Here is a 19,569-nt window from a genome sequence, read left to right as displayed (position 1 = left end):
GATAGAGGCATAACCTTAGTGAGAACTAAAATTTTATCTCCTGTTGGGTAGACTTTGCCTTATAAGAATGCAATGTGATTGGGCGCAGTGGCTCATTCCTGTAATCCCAGCACTTTGGGAGGCCGAGGCAGGCAGATCACCTGAGATCAGGAGTTCGAGACCAGCCTGGCCAACATGGCAAAACCCCATCTCTATTAAAAATACAAAAAATTAGCCGGGCATGGTGGTGGGTGCCTGTAGTCCCAGCCACTTGGGAGGCTGAGGCAGGAGAATCGCTTGAACCCTGGAGGTGGAGGTTGCAGTGAGCCGAGATTGCACCCTTGCACTCTAGCCTGGGCCACAGAGCAAGACTCCATCTCAAAAAAAAAAAAGCAAAGCAATTTATTTTTGCATAAAATGTATTCTGTGTGCTGCCATATCAGGATTGCTTGGTGCATATCATTGCTTTCTGGGGAGGAGTTTCTGCCTTCTGCTGATCTAGAGGTAATAGAAGATGCCTCCGGAATACGTTTTCCTAGAGTTATAATCGGATATGCTATGTGCTCACATCACAAGTCATCTCAATACAAAGTGCCATATGATTTACTTCAGTTACAGGAAATGCAAATTTGATTTGGCGTGTGACAAGTTCAAAGCACTATTTTCTTGCCCACATTACAGAAATAGTTTGCTGTTTGTATATTGTTTTAGATAACCCCTTCCCTGGGTAGTCTGACTTACAGTATCTATAGACATACTGTTGCTCTTGTGTTTGTGATTGTCACAAGTAATGTATCCTCTGTCTTACTAGAAAGGGACATGACAAAATTGCCATGTGTTCATGGGGCTAATACCTTTGCTTGGAGTCGAGTGGTCTGATATTTCCTTATGTGAGTGTTTGCCTTAACCAAAGTTAACTTCTGTCCAAGAACAACTGGGGCATTTAGGGATATTTCATTCCATAACACCTTAACTTTGGGCTTCCCATTTATTACTTCTCTGGATCCTCATGACAGCGATCTATTATGGGTGTTTTTTTAAGAGCACAAGTTCTGTCTGAATCAGCTAGTGGGAAGTTTGAATTCCAGTTTGAAGTACTAACTGATACTTCAGGGAAAGAACTCAACTTCACTAAGGCTCATTTTCTCCATGGATAAAATGGAAATAATCATCACTTCAGATTTATGGGGTTCTTATGAAGGTTAAGGCAATGTTTATGAAATTCTAAGCACAATGGCTTGCTCCAGGAATGAAGTCCATAATAATTCTATTCAGTGGGAGGCAAACATAAAGGAGAAAAACACAAATAGGTTAAGCCAGACATTTGCCTAAAGCCACATAGTTGCAGAACTGGAGCCAGATCAGCCATTCCCATTTTAGTCTTTCTAAAATTTTAATAGGCTGCTGTACTTTCTTAATTAAACACATATGTGTACATGTAACTGTTACTTTTAAATGTGATACTTTGTCAACAAATGTAATTATTGTGCCTATACACTGCATCAGACATAGTGGTGAGGCAATGCAGCTATAACAATGGGGCTCACGTACAACTACGAAGTTCTGTTTGTATGCCCATGTTCCCATGCAAATATGCACATAAAAGTGTGTGTCTACATTCAGAATGTGCCCTCTCTCAAAGTAAACAGACTCTGCACGTATCCTCCTTCAAGTTATGACTCTTTTGTAACTTGGACATTCATTCAGAGCCTCTGCTTCCTCATTAGTAGAAAAGAAATAATAGGCCAGGTGCAGTGGCTCACTTCTGTAATCCCAGTACTTTGGGGGGCCAAGGTGGGCAGATGGCTTGGGCTCAGGAGTTCAAGACCAGCCTGGGCAACATGGTGAAACTCTGTTTCTGAAAAAAATACAAGTTTAGCTGGGCATGGTGGCACACCCCTGTGGTCGCAGCTACTCAGGAGGCTGAAGTAGGAGGATTGTTTGAGCCCCAGGGGTCAAGGCTGCCATGGGCTGTGATCGGGCCACTGCACTCCTGCCTTTCCCATCTGTCTCAAATGGGAGATGCTGTCTCAAACAAAAAGAAATGCTAGTACCAGACAGGTAAGGTTATTAAGATTAATTAAGATACTGCCTGGATGTCCTTAGCGCAGAGCCTGAAACTAATAAAACCTGGATAACCCTTAACTGTAATTGTTCTGAAGCAGCACTCACAGGAAATTCTGAGTCCATCACCAACCAGCATTTGTTAAGAAGGAGCAGCTGCCCAAAGGAAGTCAGCTTAAGAAGTCATAAATAATTCTGATAGAGCACAGGCAGTTTAGCAAGTGGCTTTCTCTTCACTGGGGATTGGGTTGTTGTTGTTGTTGTTGTTTTGTGTGGAATTTTGCTCTGTCGCCTAGGCTTGAGCCCAGTGCCGCAATCTCTGCTCACTGCAACCTCCACCTCCTGAGTTCAAGCAATTCTCCTGCCTCAGCCTCCTCCCAAGTAGGTGGGACTACAGGCGGGTGCCACCACGCCCGGCTATTTTTTACATTTTTAGTAGAGATTGGGTTTCACCATGTTGGCCAGGCTGATCTTGAACTCCTGACCTGAGGTGATCTACCTGCTTCAGCCTCCCAAAGTGTTGGGATTACAGGTGTGAGCCACTGCGCCTGGCCAGGGGATAGGTTTAAATTGTGTCAACATACCTGTCTTTGATCTAAGTTCAGGCCAACTTCCATTCCTCAATATTTTGTGGCTGTCACAGACCTGAGACTGACATTCCAGTTTCCGGAGCCTTTGTTCCACTCCAAAATCAGAGTTCAAAGGTTAATTTCATCAAATTCTATGTGGATGCCTTCAAAGAGTATGTCTATGCGCACAAAGAAGCCGGCCATATGCTTATGAGCATTAAATGAGTTAATATATGTGAAACAATTATAATAATGACTGGCACATAGCAATAACTCCATAAACATTTTCTGGTGCTGCTGTCGTTGTTATTGTTATCCTCCATTTGTTCAAAAAGAATGTATCAAGTGCCTGTAGATGTTCTGGGCACAAGATATACAAAGGTGAACTGAACAGACCAGATCTCTGCCTTTATGGAGCTTAGCATGTATGTGTCCATACTTGGGAGGGGGAGTGTTTAGTTCACAAAATAAACAAAGTTCTGTAAGTTGAGCAGAACAGTGAACGGCTGTGCTACCTAGATGGGTGGTAATAGACTACATTCTTGGTGAGGACAGGCCGATCTCTCTTGTTCGACACTGTTGCTCCAGCATCTTGTGAAAGCCATAGTGGGTACCTGATTTATGTTGGTTGACTAAATAAATAAATGGGTGACTTTCTGAGAGGGAGCACAGTTAAATCCGGCACAACAGGTTTTGGGTTTAGGTGGTGTGTGCAGATATGATGTAAGGTATGTAGTTTGCAGGTTCTGTTTATGTGGCAGAGTCGGCGTCAGAGTATACGTGGGTGGACGTGGGGAAGAGAATGAGGTTATGAAAGCACAGATGTACATAAGTAAAGTCTGCATACATCTGAGGTAACATGAAAAGCAAAGTCTTTGGTTGTGTGATTTTTGAAGTAAATCTGGGCTTAGGTGTGAATCTAAGTGTCGGTTCCGACTGAGGTAAACCTGGACTTGTGTCAGTGTGTGAGATTAAAATCTGGGGTTTGTTGTATGAGGGACAGAGCATCAATGAAGAGTGCTTTGCAAGGCAAAACCTAAGAATGTGTGTGTGTGTGTGTGTGTGTGTGTGTGATCTGAAATGAGGCAAATTAGGGGTGGTAAAAAGCAAACTAGGATATTATATAGAAGCTAAGAAAGGGCTTATGTGAGCCAAAGGGCTTTTGTGACTCTCAATGAAGTAAGAGGGCTTCTCTCTCAGTGTGTGTTTGTGTTGTGTGTGTAAGCCAATTCAGGACTTCATGTGAGAGTGTGGGTTTGCAAGGCAGATTCTAGAACTGGGTGTAGTTATGAGTGTCATCCTAAAGATCAGGATGAGGCAAGTCCGGGGTTCCGGGTAGGATTGTGAGTCTGTCGTAAATTTGAGTTTGTATGTGTTAGTTGTAAATCAGGACTTGGCTTTGAGATGAATCCACCTGGGTCAGCTGGGTTTTTGTGCACGAGGGACGTCAGAAAGCTTTGTGTTTGTGAGGCAAACTAGGGAGTTAGTGTGGGTGAAGCAGTCAAGTGCTGGAGTGTGAACATTTCTAAGACGTCTAAATTGCGCGAAAGTGTGTGAGGCAAGGCTGTTGCGCGAGCGGGCAGTGTGCGCCTGTGTGTGCGTGTGCGCGCGCGCCAAGTTTGGTTTGTGATTGTGATGGGCACCGACGCTGCGTCAGCCCGGGAGGCCACGTTAGGGTTGGGGGTGCGTGAGGAGGTGCGGCCGGGCGAGAGGTCCAGCGAGTGAGCCAAGCGCGGCGCTACTCTGGGCCCCTGCTCCGCGCGCTAGCTGGCTGTGTGGCTCGCTGGCTCGCTAGGGACAAGCAGGAATCGGAGCAGCACTGCCGCCTCTGGCGCGAAGGCTCAGGCGCCTCCTCCCGCCACAGTCACTGTGGCTCGGCGCACGCTGCCGGCGGCTGCCCTTTCCGCCTCTGGGGAAGAAAAACCCGCGGGCCGCTTTCGTGCTTGAACCATGGCCTCGGGCCGGAGGGGCTGGGACAGCTCCCACGAAGACGATCTGCCCGTGTACCTGGCCAGGCCGGGCACCACGGACCAGGTCCCGCGGCAGAAATACGGCGGCATGTTCTGCAACGTGGAGGGCGCCTTCGAGAGCAAGACGCTGGATTTCGATGCCCTCAGCGTGGGGCAGCGGGGCGCGAAGACTCCTCGGAGCGGCCAGGGCAGCGACCGAGGATCGGGGAGTCGGCCCGGGATCGAGGGGGACACCCCGCGCAGGGGCCAAGGCCGGGAAGAGAGCAGGGAGCCCGCGCCCGCCTCCCCCGCCCCCGCCGGGGTAGAGATCCGGAGCGCCACCGGCAAAGAGGTGTTGCAGAACCTCGGCCCCAAGGACAAGGTAAGGGGGCCCCGGGTCACTTCCCTCCTTGCCTTCGTTCCTTTCTCCAGCCCTGGCCGCCATGGCCCGGGCACAACTTTCTCCAGCTCACTTTGCACGGGGCTGGGGGACAAGGAGGAGGAAAGGGTCATCCTCCACTGAGCGTAGCGCGACTTCCTAGCCCAGACCCTGGATTCGCGCGTGTCGCCACTTGCAGCATCTTCGTGCAAGCGCGGAAGGGATGCCCGGGTTCCCCTGCCTGGAGCCGCGTCCTTTGCCCCTGCCTCCTCGCCGCACTCCTGGGCCATCCGGTCTGGGTGGGTGTGTCAGCCCGGGAAGGCTTAGTGATTTCCAGCTCTTCTCTCTAGTAGCCAACAGCACAATTGTCTTGCCCCCCTCTGGCCCTAGATTAAATCTCAACCCGGGTCACCACGGCAGAGGGCAAAGTGATGCTGGGAATATGGGGGTCATCTCCATAGTGCCCGGATGAAAGTACTGGAGGGGCGGTCTCCCCTCTCAGTCTTCAAACATCAGCTCTGTCCCTGAAACTTTTGGGTGTGGAGCCTCTAGACTAAACACGCGAATCTCTCTCTATGCCTCGCTTGTGTCTTAGCACGGCATTTCACATCTGTGTTTGTAAAGAGTGTATTTGTGTACATAGCTTGGCACAAGACTGGGTATTACAGGGGTCCAGCTGCCTCTGCAAGAATAGCATTATATTTTAGAAAATAGACGAGAGTATTAAGAGTGCACATTAAACTAGCATGAGATGCAAATTCCCTGCTGCTCTTAAATGTGCCAAAGCCAATTTCTTCTGTATGTGTATTTTTGAGAAACTTATGTCACACTGAACTGACTGAAGGGATGGCATTGAAATCTAGCTTGCCCTGATTTATGTGTCTATTTCACAGAGACTCAGAGATGTAGTTCAGAAAATGCAGGGCCTGGCAGGGCTGGAGACTTCAGAGTTCAAACTGAAGCTTTCAGTTGGGGAATAATAATAATCAGATGCCCTCACCCTTGTCTAGGTAATGGCCGCAAAATCCATCCGCATGTATTATTCTGCACTAATATGGTTAGGAATAACAACCTGAAATGGAAATGTCTGCCTCAGAGCAATTACAGTTAATGCTTATTCAGGTTTTAGTTGTTTTTCCATTAAAATGCAATGAGCTAGTGAAAGAACAGCATCTCTGTTCACTGTTTGATTTTTGAAAGTTTAGACAAACCAACCAACCAACCTTTGACTACTAAGACCACCAGGGAAAATAAGTGCTGAAGTTAGTGCTGTTCAAGGGTACCACTTGGAAAACAATGTCGGCTTCCTCTGAAATCATTCATTTAGTTTGTGATTTTCACATCATCCTTTTAGTGCGTGATTCCCCTAAGCCCTTGCTTACCAACGTTTTAGGGAAAACTTCTGATATTTTGCAAATGTTTTGGTTGATATCTAAACTGAAGAAGAACCCTATAGAAAGGTTATTCCTTTCTTCATGTCTGACTTGTCCATATTGAAATGTTCCCTTCCTGACTGGAACGGGCGGGAGTAGTGATGGAAAAGGTCGGTAACAATTGCTGTGAGTCAGTGCTATTCCCTTTGCTGAAACACCCCTGATGTAAGCCAGATAATATGCTGGGTTTGCAAGATTTAAGAATGGTAACTAGAGAAAGGGAAAATATTCCTCCTTTAAACCTAGCAATTCTCCCGTTTTCCTCCCTTTTGCAAACCCTATACTTTTGGCTACTAATTGAGAAATAATAATACAACCTAGGCATCAGCAGGATTTCTAGTGCTACATAGTCATTTGTAAGTTTGGGCTTGCCATCTGCTTCATCCAGGCCATGTTATTATCTCTAATTTGGTTGAATCACACTGTTAGAAGAGACCACGGAGGTTATCAAGTTCTGAACTTGTTGTTTATTTCCTTGAGGGTAGAGATTGTGTATTTGGATTTATCTATGTGGCTAGAATGCTTGGCACATTGGAGGTGCTCAATAAATGTTTGATACACTAAACCTCCTTAATTAAACCATCTGTTTTGCCACATAGCTGGCAAAATGATCATCTGGCCTCTGCTTAAATACAACCATTGTCAGGGAGCTCACTACCTCATGAAGCAACTTTTTGGACAACTTTACTTAAAAAAAAAAAAAAATTAAGCCCAAATCTACCTACCTGTAGTTTCTACAAATTATTCTTAGTTCTGACCTTTGGAAATATAAGGGTAAATATATTTCCTTATTATGAGACATTTTAATGATTTTTAGGTATGTGCACTCTTGTATCTGTCAGAAAAGGCTGGGTGATGCCATAGTAACAAACAACCCCCAACTCTCAGCAGCTTAATAAAAAACATAACAACATATTTCTTGCTCCTATTTGTCCAGTGTGAGTCAACAGGGAAGCTCTATTCATTATTGTGCCTAACTTGATGGAGGCTCCATCTCTACACATCTGTGTATAGTATGTGGCAAATTGTATACACACTTAATTCCTTGCTGAAGTAATGAACATGATGTGTGCTCACATTTCATTGGCCGAAAACCATGTCTATACTCAGCTTCAAAGCAACTGGTGGAATACAATCTTGCCATGATCCTGTAAGACTAGAAATATTTGGCAAATAGCTCTAATATCTCTCCCAGATCTAGAGATGAATTAATGGAGTGAAATCTGTCCCAACCTTTACTAGTTATATGACTGTAAGCATGTAACTTAGCCTCTGGGTACCTCAGTTTTCTCCTGTACAAAATAAGGATAATGGTGACTACTTTGCACAGTAGTATTCAGTACATATTAGTTATTACTATTACTCTTCAATTTTAATGCCCGTTACATGTATGAGGGCAATTATCTCATTCTCCCTAAATTTCTTTCTTACCCTTATTATTCCTAGCTTCTTCAGTCTTCTCTTGTATGAGCATTTTACCATCCTGATTTCCTTTTCAGGTTATATTATATTACATATTTTGTAAATATTTTTCTCAAAATACAGTGCCCAGAACTGAATATGTTGCTTCAGATGGGATATGACCATGGCGAAGTGCATTATGTTACTTAATTTTTTGGACTTTTACGGAACATATGCATCTATGACTTACTATTGTCTCCATGGCAAACACCCTGCCATTCAAGCTTTCAGAAACTTTTTTCACGTAAGCTGCTGTTAGGCCAGGATGTTCCCCTTCTATGCTGGTACAATTTAATTTAAAACAAACCACCCCCAAAAAAATCTTAACTATAGGATTTTATTTTTTCTTCCTTCTATAATATTTATCACTATCTTAGCTCATCTTTCTATTATATCATAATAATCTTAAACCTTAATTCTATAATACAGCACTCCTACTGCCAGCTTTGTACCATTTGTTGATTTGATAGTATCACCTTTTGAACACTTTCTGTGTGCCTATACTAAATAGTGCTCAAAAGGTCGTTTCCTCACAGAAAATGGTTATAACCGATAAGGAAATTGAACCCCAGAGACTAATTGTTTAGTCCCAAATCACATAAATAATAAGTGGGGGGAGCCAGAATTCACAATCTGATTTTTCTGATTCCAGAGTCTGTGTTCTTTCCAGGTGGGGAGGCTGCTTCCTTATTTTAATATGACCAGCCTGGCCGTCGTGTCAGCTCCTGACATGTCAATATTATTCAGAGCAAGGACAGATTTTCCTGCCACACCTCTAGAACCCTTCTTCTATTGTGCCACCAGCCCATTACACAGGAAACTTTGAGACCAGTTGTTCAACCTTGGAGAACAGTTGCTGCAAAATCCTTATTCTTTCAAGTTGATTGCAGAGCTATCAAAAGATATTTTAAGTGTCTTGGTAAAATCAAAATATGCTTTGTATCTAGCATACCTAATTATTAACTTCTATCTTAACAAAATGAGTTTATTTAATAAATTGTAATGAGGTTAAATAACAGAAGTGTTTACAGAATAAAAATATAAAATAATAGGCTGGGAGTGGTGGCTCACGCCTGTAATCTCAGCACTTTGAGAAGCCAAGCTGGGCAGATCACTTGAGGTCAGGAGTTTGAGAACAGCCTAGCCAACATGGTGAAACCCCCGTCTCTACTAAAAATACAGAGATTAGCTGGGCGTGGTGGTGGGCACCTGTAATCCTAGCTACTTGGGAGGCTGAGGCAGGAGAATCGCTTGAACCCGGGAGGTGGAGGTTGCAGTGAGCCAAGATCACGCCATGGCACTCCAGCCTGGGCAACACAGTGAGACTCCGTCTCAAAAAAAAAAACGTCTCTGAGTGTCAAATTCCAGGTTTGAGTTATCACTAGATGCTAATATAGTGGTTCCAAACCTATCTATAAACACCTTCTTAAATTGTGTATTTAGAGTTTTCTCATAATAGGCATTCATGTTACTAAAATCCTCGGCATTCATGTTACTAAAATCCTCTATGGTTGGCTTACACAACTTTTCATTTATAATTTTTGATACTAAGTGCATAGAAAAGCAATTCTAAGTGAAAAGTATTTATTTTTCATCATTTCTCAAGATGCTTTTCCATGCACACTGAATTTTCCTAGCAGTAAAATAGTTACTAAGAGGAAGACAATTATGATATGGCCTGCCAAGAGCAAATTATATCATAAGGACTCTGTCATCCAGCAAAAACAAAGTAATGACATTATGATTACAGGGGTTTTTATTGATAACTTTCTATCAGGAGTCTTGGGTCATTTCTAGTTTCCTTCTTCCCATGTGGGCCTCTTTTGTGCAAGATGTTTCCTTCATGAAGTTGGCAAGGGCTCTGGGTGCAGAGGGAACAATCTAGAAACAAATGAGATGTGGCCGTTACCTTTTTACCATTTGTCATTTGTCTTGTTTTTCCTGGGCTAAAAGTTTTCAAAGTGACTCAGAGAAATTGATGTTCTCCTCTTTATCCTGCACAATGTGAGACAGCTGGAAATAGAATTCTAGGCTTATAAAGGCCTCACTAGCTATCAGAATCCAAACCCTGGTGTGTAAATGAATTTTATAAGTCTTCTCTGACAAATGAAAGTTTGTACCAAAGCTAGGAAAAAATGCCTCCTGCTTACCTGGCCTTCAGGCCACACTTGAATCTGGGAGTAGGTTTCCTTCCCCAAACTTGGAAGTGTTTGTGACCTTTCAGAACTTTGGTTTAGTTTGACAGTAGGCATTTGAGGAACATAAAAAATACGCCTTCTCAATAATGCTGCGATTGGCAGAGTTCCCTCAAAGTAATGGTCCCTGGAGACAGGGTTTTGCTGACAGCTCTTGTAAGTAATGTTTAAGGCAGCCAGAACACTGTCTCTGATGATTTCAGTCAGTGACTCTTACAGCTGATTCTCCTGGTGATTTATTTCCACTGGGCGTTATCCTGACAAGTAATGTTTCTATGAGACAGGGAGTAAAGCTTACAAGGAAGAGGAAATCTGTCTGAGGAGGATGCAATCTGTGACTGCAAATGGAAGAGGCAGAAGGTCCATTTAGGTGTGTGAGCACTTTTAAAATTAAGCTTCTAGGAGTATGTAACATTAAAATATGTTTGTAACATAGAATCACATTGCATTCAAAAGACAGTTCTACTCCATCAAAGAACATATTAGGCAAAAACAAACAGAAAATCAAAGTGGATAAAGTATTAGCAGTCTCAGTTTCCAGACCTAACCTTTAACCTGCTGTACAACTTGGGCAAGTTACCTCCCTTCCCTTTGAGCTATAGTTTCCTTCTTTCTAAAACAAATGGGCTAGACCAAATGGTCCCTATAGTAATGGTCTTCTTGTAAACTTTCTTGATTGTGCATCTTTAAACGAAAATTTTTTGGGCATGCTCCATATTCCTTGTGTGTGTATATATGTTTACACATATGTGCATATATATAAATTACATATGGAAATATCACATTAATATCTTATGACTGGCTGGGCATTGTGGCTCATGCCTGTAATCCCAGCACTTTGGGAGCCAAGGCAGAAGGATTGCTTGAGCCCAGGAGTTTGAGACCAGACTGGGCAACGTAGAACACTTGGTCTCTAAAAATAATTTAAAAATTAACTAAGCATGGTGGTGCACGACTGTGGTCCCAGCTACCCAGGAGGCTGAGGTAAGAGGTTTGCTTGAGCCTGAAAAGTCGAGGTTGCAGCCAGCCATGACTGGAAGAGGCGACAGTGAGACCCTGTCTTTAAAAAGAAAACATCTTATGATCATCATAAAATGTAAATAAAAAATCTAAACTAAAAAAGAAGAGATACAAAAAATCCAAATATAAATTATGGTTGTTTTCCTTTATCCCAGTGGCTTGTCTTGTCCAACAAATTGGGTGAGTGCTTGGAAGTCTATGGTCCCTAGACTAAATAGATAATAGTCAGTGGTTCTAACAACTTAGTCATTAATGAGTCCATTGTCAGAGTACTTCAGTGATAGATGCCCTTTTATTGAACAATTTTTGAGAGACAGTTCAAAACTGTTGAAGGCTTGTGATGAGGCTACAGACCAGGTGCTGGTTAGTGCTCAGCACTCTTTACAAATATGCATGTGGAGGTGGGCCAGTAGCTTGTGAATAAGAAGGGAGTCCCCACGTCTCCCTTTACCTGCTGATTTTTGTCTTTACTCATTTTTGCAAAAAGCATTATTAAGGCCGGGCACAGTGGCTCACGCTTGTAATCCCAGCACTTTGGGAGGGCAAGGCGGGCGGATGACGAGGTCATGAGATCGAGATCATCCTGGCTAACACGGTGAAACCTCGTCTCTACTAAAAATACAAAAAATTAGCTGGGCATGGTGGCAGGCGCCTGTAGTCCCAGCTACTCGGGAGGCTGAGGCAGGAGAATGGCGGGAACCCGGGAGGCGGAAGTTGCAGTGAGCCGAGACTGCGCCACTGCACTCCAGCCTGGGCGACAGAGCGAGACTCCGTCTCAAAAAAAAAAAAAAAAAAAAAAAGCATTATTAAGCCACAGCTATGTAGGTGCACAATGAAAAACAAATGTTGGAAAAATTAAGATGTACCAAAGAGATCAGCAGTAAGAAAACATAAACATCGTTTCCTCATCATCTTCTGGAGAAAACTGCCATTAACCTAGGAGTGTATTTTCTTCCCATCTGTGTGTATATGTGTGTGTGTGTGTGTGTGTGTGTATCTGTGACATGCATTTTTTTCCCAAAAGTGAGGAGATGCAGTATTTCTGTGTTTAAATTATTTTTTATCATTTAGCGTGGTCTGAAGGTTTGTGTACCCCCAATTTCATAGGTTGAAATCCTAAGCCCCAAGGTAATGATACTGATTTGGTCATGAGCGTGGTGCCCTCATGAATGGGGTTGGTGCCCTTATGAAAGCGGCCCTAGAGAGCTGCTTTGCTCTTTGCACCAGGTGAGAACACAGCTAGAAGGCAGCGTCTGAGTCAGAAAGCCGGCCTCCACCAGACACTGAATCTGCCTTATCTTGGGCATCCCAGTGTCCAGAATTGTAAGAAATACATTTATTATTTATAAGCCACACAGATTATGGTATTTTGTTATAGCAGCCTGAGCAGACTAAGATATCACCTTTTTAAAAAAACAAATAAGCTCGTATTTTTAGAGCAGTTTTGGATTCACAGTGAAGTCAAGTGGAAAGTACAGAGAGTACTTCCCATATACCCCTGTCTCCATAAACACACAGCCTCCTTCACTGGCAACACTCCACACGAGAGTAGTCGATTTTTTACAATTGATGAACCTACATCGACACATCATTGGCTGGATGTGGTGGCTCACGCCTGTAATCCCAGCACTTTGGGAGGCTAAGGTGGGTGGATCACCTCAGGTCAGGAGTTCGAGACCAGCCTGTCCAACATGGCAAAACCTCGTCTCTACTAAAAATACAAATATTAGCCAAGTGTGATGGCAGGCACCTGTAATTCCAATTACTTGGGAGGTGAGAGAATTGCTTGAACCTGGGAGGCAGAGGTTGCAGTGAGCCCAGATCGTGACACTATACTCTAGCCTGGGCAACAGAGCAAGACTCTGGTAAAAAAAAAAAAAAAAAAAAAAAAAATCATTATCACCACAAATCCATAGTTTACATTAGGCTTCACTCTGGTGTTGCACATTTTATGGGCTTGGACAAACATACAATGACAAGTATCTACCATTGTAATATCTTATAGGAATTAGTTTTACTGCCCTAAAAATCTTCTGTGCTCTCTCTGTTCATCATTCTCTTCTGCCCTCAACTCCTGGCAACCACTGATCTTTTTACTGCCTCCATAGTTTTGTCTTTTTCAGAGTGTCATATAGTGGGAATCACACAGTATGTAGACTTTTCAGATTGGCTTCTTTCACTTGGTGACATGCACATACATTTTCCCCACGTCTCTACATGGCTTGATAGCTCATTTCTTTTTCTTGCTGAATATTTGGATGTGCGGCCGTTTATTTATTCACTTACCTACTGAAGGATGTCGTGGTTGCTTCCAGGATTTGTTGGTTATGAATAAAGCTGCTATAAACATTCGTGGGCACATACGTTTTGTATGAACATAAGTCTTCAGTTCATTTAGGTAAATACCAAGGAGCACTGTTGCTGGATCGCATGGTGAGAGCACATTTAGTTTTCTAAGAAACTGCCAAATTGTCTTCCAAAGTGGTGCTACCAATCTGCATTCTTAGTAGCAATGAATGAGTATTCTTGTTGCTCCACATCTTCACCAGCATTTGATGTTGTCAGTGTTCTGGATTTTGGCCATTCTACTAGGTGTGTAGTGGTATCTCATTGTTGTTTTAATTTGCAATTTTCCAATGGCATATGATATGGAACATCTTTTCTTATGTTTAGTTGCCATCTGTGTCTGTTAAGCTCTTTGGCTCATTTTTTAATTGAGTCATTTATTTGTTTTCATTGAGTTTTTTTTTTTTTTTTTGAGATGGAGTCTCACTCTGTTGCCCAGGCTGGAGTGTAGTGGTGCCACCTCGGCTCACTGCAATCTCTATCTCCCAGGTTCAAGTGATTCTCCTGCCTCAGCCTCCCGGGTAGCTGGGATTGCAGGTGTGCACAACCACGCCCGGCTAATTCTTGTATTTTTAGTAGATATGCGATTTCACCATGTTGGCTAGGCTGGTCTCAAACTCCTAACCTCAGGTGATCCGCCCACCTCAGCCTCCCAAAGTACTGGGATTACAGGCGTGAGCCACCGCACCTGGCCGTTATCATTGAGTTTTAAGAGTTCTGCGTGTATTCAGATAATAGTTGTTTATCAGATATGTATTTTGCAAATATTTTCTCCCAGTCTGTGGATTGCCTTCTCATTCTTTTGACAATATGTTTTGCAGCACATATGTTTTTAATTTTAATATAGTCCAGCTCACCAATTATTTATTTCATGAATTGTGCTATTGATGTTGTATCTAAAAACGTCATCACTATACCCAAGGTCATCTGTGTTATTTTCTAGGAGTTTTATAGTTTGCATCTTACATTTAGGTTTATGATCCATTTGGAGTTATTTTTTGTGAATGGCATAGATCCGTGTTATGATTTTTTTTTGCACATAGGTGTCCAGTTGTTTTAATACTATTTGTTGGAAATATTATATTTTCTCCATTGTATTACCTTTGCTCCTTCATAAAAATCAGTTGATTACTTTTATGTAGGTCTACTTATGTGCTATTTTGTTCCAAGCTTGTCTGTTCTTTTACCAAGATTGTACTGTCTTGATTGCTGTGGCTTTCTTGTAAGTTTTAAAGTTGGTACTGTCAGTCCTCTGATTTTGTTATTTTCCTTCAACATTGGCTATTCTGGGTCTTTTGCCTTTCCATATGACGTTTAGAATCAGTTTGTTGATATCAACAAAACAACGTGCTAGAATCTTGATTGGAACTGTGTCGAATCTAAAGATCAAGTTGGGAGGAACTGACATCTAGACAGTATTGAGTCTTCCTGTCCATGAGCAAGGAATATACTCCCTTTATTTAGTTCTTCTTTGACACCTTTCATCAGAGTTTTGTAGCTTTCCCCATATGGATCTCACACTTTTTTTTAGATTTATACCTAAGTTGCACATGTTTCTTTAGATTTCTACCTCAGTTGCACAGGGTTTTCTAGATTTATACCTAAGTATTTCATTTCCAGGGTGCTAATGTAAATGGTTATATGTTTTAATTTCAAATTTAACTTGTTCAGTGCTAGTATATAGGAAAGCAAGTGACTTTTGCATATTAACTTTGTATCCTGCAACCTTGCTATAATCACTTACTAGTTCCTGAGGGCTTTTCTTTGCTCAATTCTTTTGTATTTTCTACATAGATAATCATGTCATCTGCAAAGAAATACAGTTTGTTTCTTCTCTCCACATCTGTATAACTTTTATTTCCTTTTCCTGTCTAATTGTATTAGCTAGGACTTCCAGAATAATGTTGAAAAGCAGTGGTGCACCATATAAAAAAATTACCTCAAGATGGATTAAAGAGTGAAATGTAAAACCCCAAACTCTAAAAACCCTGGGAGACAACCTAGGCAATACCATTTAGGTCATAGGCACGGGCAAAAATTTCATAATGAAGACACCAAAAGCAATTGCAATGAAAGCAAAACTTAATAAATGGGATCTAATTAAACTAAGGAGCTTCTGCACAGCAAAAGAAACTATTATCAGAGGAAACAGACAATCTACAGAATGGAAAACAAAGGTCTAATATCCAGCATCTATAAGGAACTTAAACAAATGTACAAGAAAAAACAAACAACCCCATTAAAAAGTAGGCAAAGGACATGTGTTCATGTCTATTACACTTTCAAAAGAAGACATACATGCAGCCAACAATCATATGAAAAAAAGCTCAACATCACTGGTCATTAGAGAAATGCAAATCAAAACCACAATGAGATACCATCTCACACCAGTCAGAATGACTATTTTTAAAAAGTCAAAAAATAATAGACATTGGTGAGGTTGTAGAGAAAAAGGAATGCTTATACACTGTTGGTGGGAGTGTAAATTAGTTCAGCCATTGTGGAAGACGGTGTGGCAATTCCTCAGAGACTTAATGACAGAAATACCATTTGGCCCAGCAATCTCATTACTGGCTATACACCCAAAGGAATATAAATAATTGTATTATAAAGACACATGCACGTGTATGTTCATTGCAGCACTATTCCCAATAGCAATGACATGGAATCAACCTAAATGCCCTTCACTGATAGACTGGATAAAGAAAACGTGGTACATATACACCATGGAATACTATGCAGCCATAAAAAAAGAATGAGATCATGTCCTTTGGAGAAATATGGGTAGAGCTGGAGGCCATTATCTTTAGCAAACTAATGCGGGAATAGAAAATGAAATACCACATGTTCTCACTTATAAGTGGGAGCTAAATGATGAGAACATATGGGTACATAGAGGGAAACAACACACACTGGGGCCTATTGGAGGGTGGAGGGTGGGAGGAGGGAGAGGATTGGGAAAAGATAACTAATGAGTACTAGGCTTAGTGGTGAAATAATCTGTGCAACAAACTCCCGTGACACAAGTTTACCTATGTAACAGACCTGCACTTGTACCCCTGAACTTAAATTAAAAAGAAAGAAAGAAAGAGAAAGAGAGAGAGAGAGAAAGAGAGAGAGAGAGAGAGAAGGGAAGGAAGGATACAAAGAAAAGTTGTGGTGAAAAAGTGTGTCTTTGCCTTGTTTCTAATCTTAGTAGGAAAGCTTTGAGTTTCTCACCATTAAATATGATGTTAGCTGTAGGTTTTTTTGAGCGTATTCTTTATCAAGCTGAGGAAGTTCCCCAATCTTCCTACTTCGCTAAGTTTTTTTTTTTTTATCATGAATGGATATTGGATTTTGCCAAATGCTTTTTCAGTATCTATTGATATGACCATGTGATTTTTCTTCTTTAGCCTGTTTGGATTATATTATGTGTAATGTAATGTGATGGATTCTCAAATGTTGAAGCAACCTTGCCTAGATAAACTCAGCCTTGCTGAGATAAACCTTCATGGCTATGGTGTGTAACTTTCTGTATACATGGTTGAATTCAACTTGCTAATATTTTGTTGAGGATTTTTGCATCTTTGTTCATTAGAGATACTGATCTGTAGTTTGCTTTTCTTTTTTTAATTTTATTATTATTATACTTTAAGTTTTAGGGTACGTGTGCATGACGTGCAGGTTTATTACATATGTATACATGTGCCATGCTGGTATGCTGCACCCATTAACTCGTCATTTAGCATTAGGTATATCTCCTAATGCTACCCCTTCCCCCTCCCCCCACCCCACAACAGTCCCTGGTGTGTGATGTTCCCCTTCCTGTGTCCATGTGTTCTTATTGTTCAATTCCCACCTATGAGTGAGAACATGCAGTGTTTGGTTTTTTGTCCTTGTGATAGTTTGCTGAGAATGATGGTTTCCAGCTTCATCCATGTCCCTACAAAGGACATGAACTCATCATTTTTTATGGCTGCATAGTATTCCGTGGTGTATATGTGCCACATTTTCTTAATTCAGTCTATCGCTGTTGGACATTTAGGTTGGTTCCAAGTCTTTGCTATTGTGAATAGTGCCACTATAAACATACGTGTGCATGTGTCTTTATGGCAGCATGATTTATAGTCCTTTGGGTATATACCCAGTAATGGGATGGCTGGGTCAAATGGTATTTCTAGTTCTAGATCCCTGAGGAATTGCCACACTGACTTCCACAATGGTTGAACTAGTTTACAGTCCCACCAACAGTGTAAAAGTGTTCCTATTTCTCCACATCCTCTCCAGCACCTGTTGTTTCCTGACTTTTTAATGATCGCCATTCTAACTGGTGTGAGATGGTATCTCATTGTGGTTTTGATTTGCATTTTTCTGATGGCCAGTGATGATGAGCATTTTTTCATGTGTTTTTTGGCTGCATAAATGTCTTCTTTTGAGAAATGTCTGTTCATATCCTTCACCCACTTTTTGATGGGGTTGTTTGTTTTTTTCTTGTAAATTTGTTTGAGTTCATTGTAGATTCTGGATATTAGCCCTTTGTCAGATGAGTAGGTTGCAAAAATTTTCTCCCATTTTGTAGGTTGCCTGTTCACTCTGATGGTAGTTTCTTTTGCAGTGCAGAAGCTCTTTAGTTTAATTAGATCCCATTTGTCTATTTTGTCTTTTGTTGCCATTGCTTTTGGTGTTTTAGACATGAAGTCCTTGCCCATGCGTATGTCCTGAATGGTATTGTGTAGGTTTTCTTCTAGGGCTTTTATGGTTTTAGGTCTAACATGTAAGTCTTTAATCCATCTTGAATTAATTTTTGTATAAGATGTAAGGAAGGGATCCAGTTTCAGCTTTCTACATATGGCTAGCCAGTTTTCCCAGCACCATTTATTAAATAGGGAATCCTTTCCCCATTGCTTGTTTTTGTCAGGTTTGTCAAAGATCAGATAGTTGTAGATATGTGGCATTATTTCTGAGGGCTCTGTTCTGTTCCATTGGTCTATATCTCTGTTTTGGTACCAGTACCATGCTATTTTGGTTACTGTAGCCTTGTAGTATAGTTTGAAGTCAGGTAGCATGATGCCTCCAGCTTTGTTCTTTTGTCTTCGGATTGACTTGGCAATGCGGGCTCTTTTTTGGTTCCATATGAACTTGAAAGTAGTTTTTTCCAATTCTGTGAAGAAAGTCATTGATAGCTTGATGAGGATGCCATTGAATCTATAAATTACCTTGGGCAGTATGGCCATTTTCACAATATTGATTCTTCCTACACATGAACATGGAATGTTCTTCTATTTGTTTGTATTCTCTTTTATTTCATTGAGCAGTGGTTTGTAGTTCTCCTTGAAGAGGCCCTTCACATCCCTTGTAAGTTGGATTCCTAGGTATTTTATTCTCTTTGAAGCAATTGTGAATGGGAGTTCACTCATGATTTGGCTCTCTGTTTGTCTGTTATTGGTGTATAAGAGTGCTTGTGATTTTTGTACATTGATTTTGTATCCTGAGACTTTGCTGAAGTTGCTTATCAGCTTGAGGAGATTTTGGGCTGAGACGATGGGGTTTTCTAGATATACAATCATGTCATCTGCAAACAGGGACAATTTGACTTCCTCTTTTCCTAATTGAATGCCCTTTATTTCCTTCTCCTGCCTAATTGCCCTGGCCAGAACTTCCAACACTATGTTGAATAGGAGTGGTGAGAGAGGGCATCCCTGTCTTGTGTCAGTTTTCAAAGGGAATGCTTCCAGTTTTTGCCCATTCAGTATGATATTGGCTGTGGGTTTGTCATAGATAGCTCTGCTTTTCTTTTGGTGTCTGTGTTAGATTTTAATGTGACAGTAATGCTGGTCTCAGAGAAGGAGCTGGGAAGTATTTCTTCTGCTTCTATCTCTGAAAGAGATTGTAGAGAATCGGCATAATTTACTCCCTAAATATTTGGTAGAATTCGCCAGGAAATCCATCTGAGTCTGGCATTTTCTGATTTGGAAGGTAATTATTGATTTGGTTTCTTTAATAGATACAGGCTTACCTATTCAAATTTTCAATTTCTTCTTGTGGGAGTTTTGGCAAATTATGCCTTTCGAGGAACTGGCTCTTTTCATCTAGTTTATCAAATCTATGGGTATACAGTTGTTTGTAATATTCTATTATTATTATTATTATTATTATTATTATTTTGAGATGGAGTCTTGCTCTGTCACCCAG

The 19,569-nt window shown here is 41.5% G+C and overlaps 1 protein-coding gene across 1 annotated transcript in view; it reads left to right on the top strand.

Annotated features, from left to right (window-relative positions):
* The first annotated feature begins 4,352 nt into the window (after nucleotides 1-4,352).
* DPYSL3 (dihydropyrimidinase like 3) overlaps nucleotides 4,353-19,569 on the top strand; it is a 119,261-nt gene continuing 104,044 nt past the window's right edge. The window contains exon 1 of the mRNA NM_001197294.2: nucleotides 4,353-4,943. Coding sequence (NP_001184223.1) covers nucleotides 4,563-4,943 — 381 coding nt within the window. The 5' untranslated portion in view covers nucleotides 4,353-4,562. The remainder of the gene's footprint in view (nucleotides 4,944-19,569) is intronic.

This window comes from Homo sapiens, chromosome 5 (genome assembly GCF_000001405.40).
Source record: "Homo sapiens chromosome 5, GRCh38.p14 Primary Assembly".
NCBI classification, from domain to species: domain Eukaryota; kingdom Metazoa; phylum Chordata; class Mammalia; order Primates; family Hominidae; genus Homo; species Homo sapiens.
Note: the sequence above shows the minus strand (reverse complement) of the source record. Positions and strands in the feature narration are given on the sequence as shown.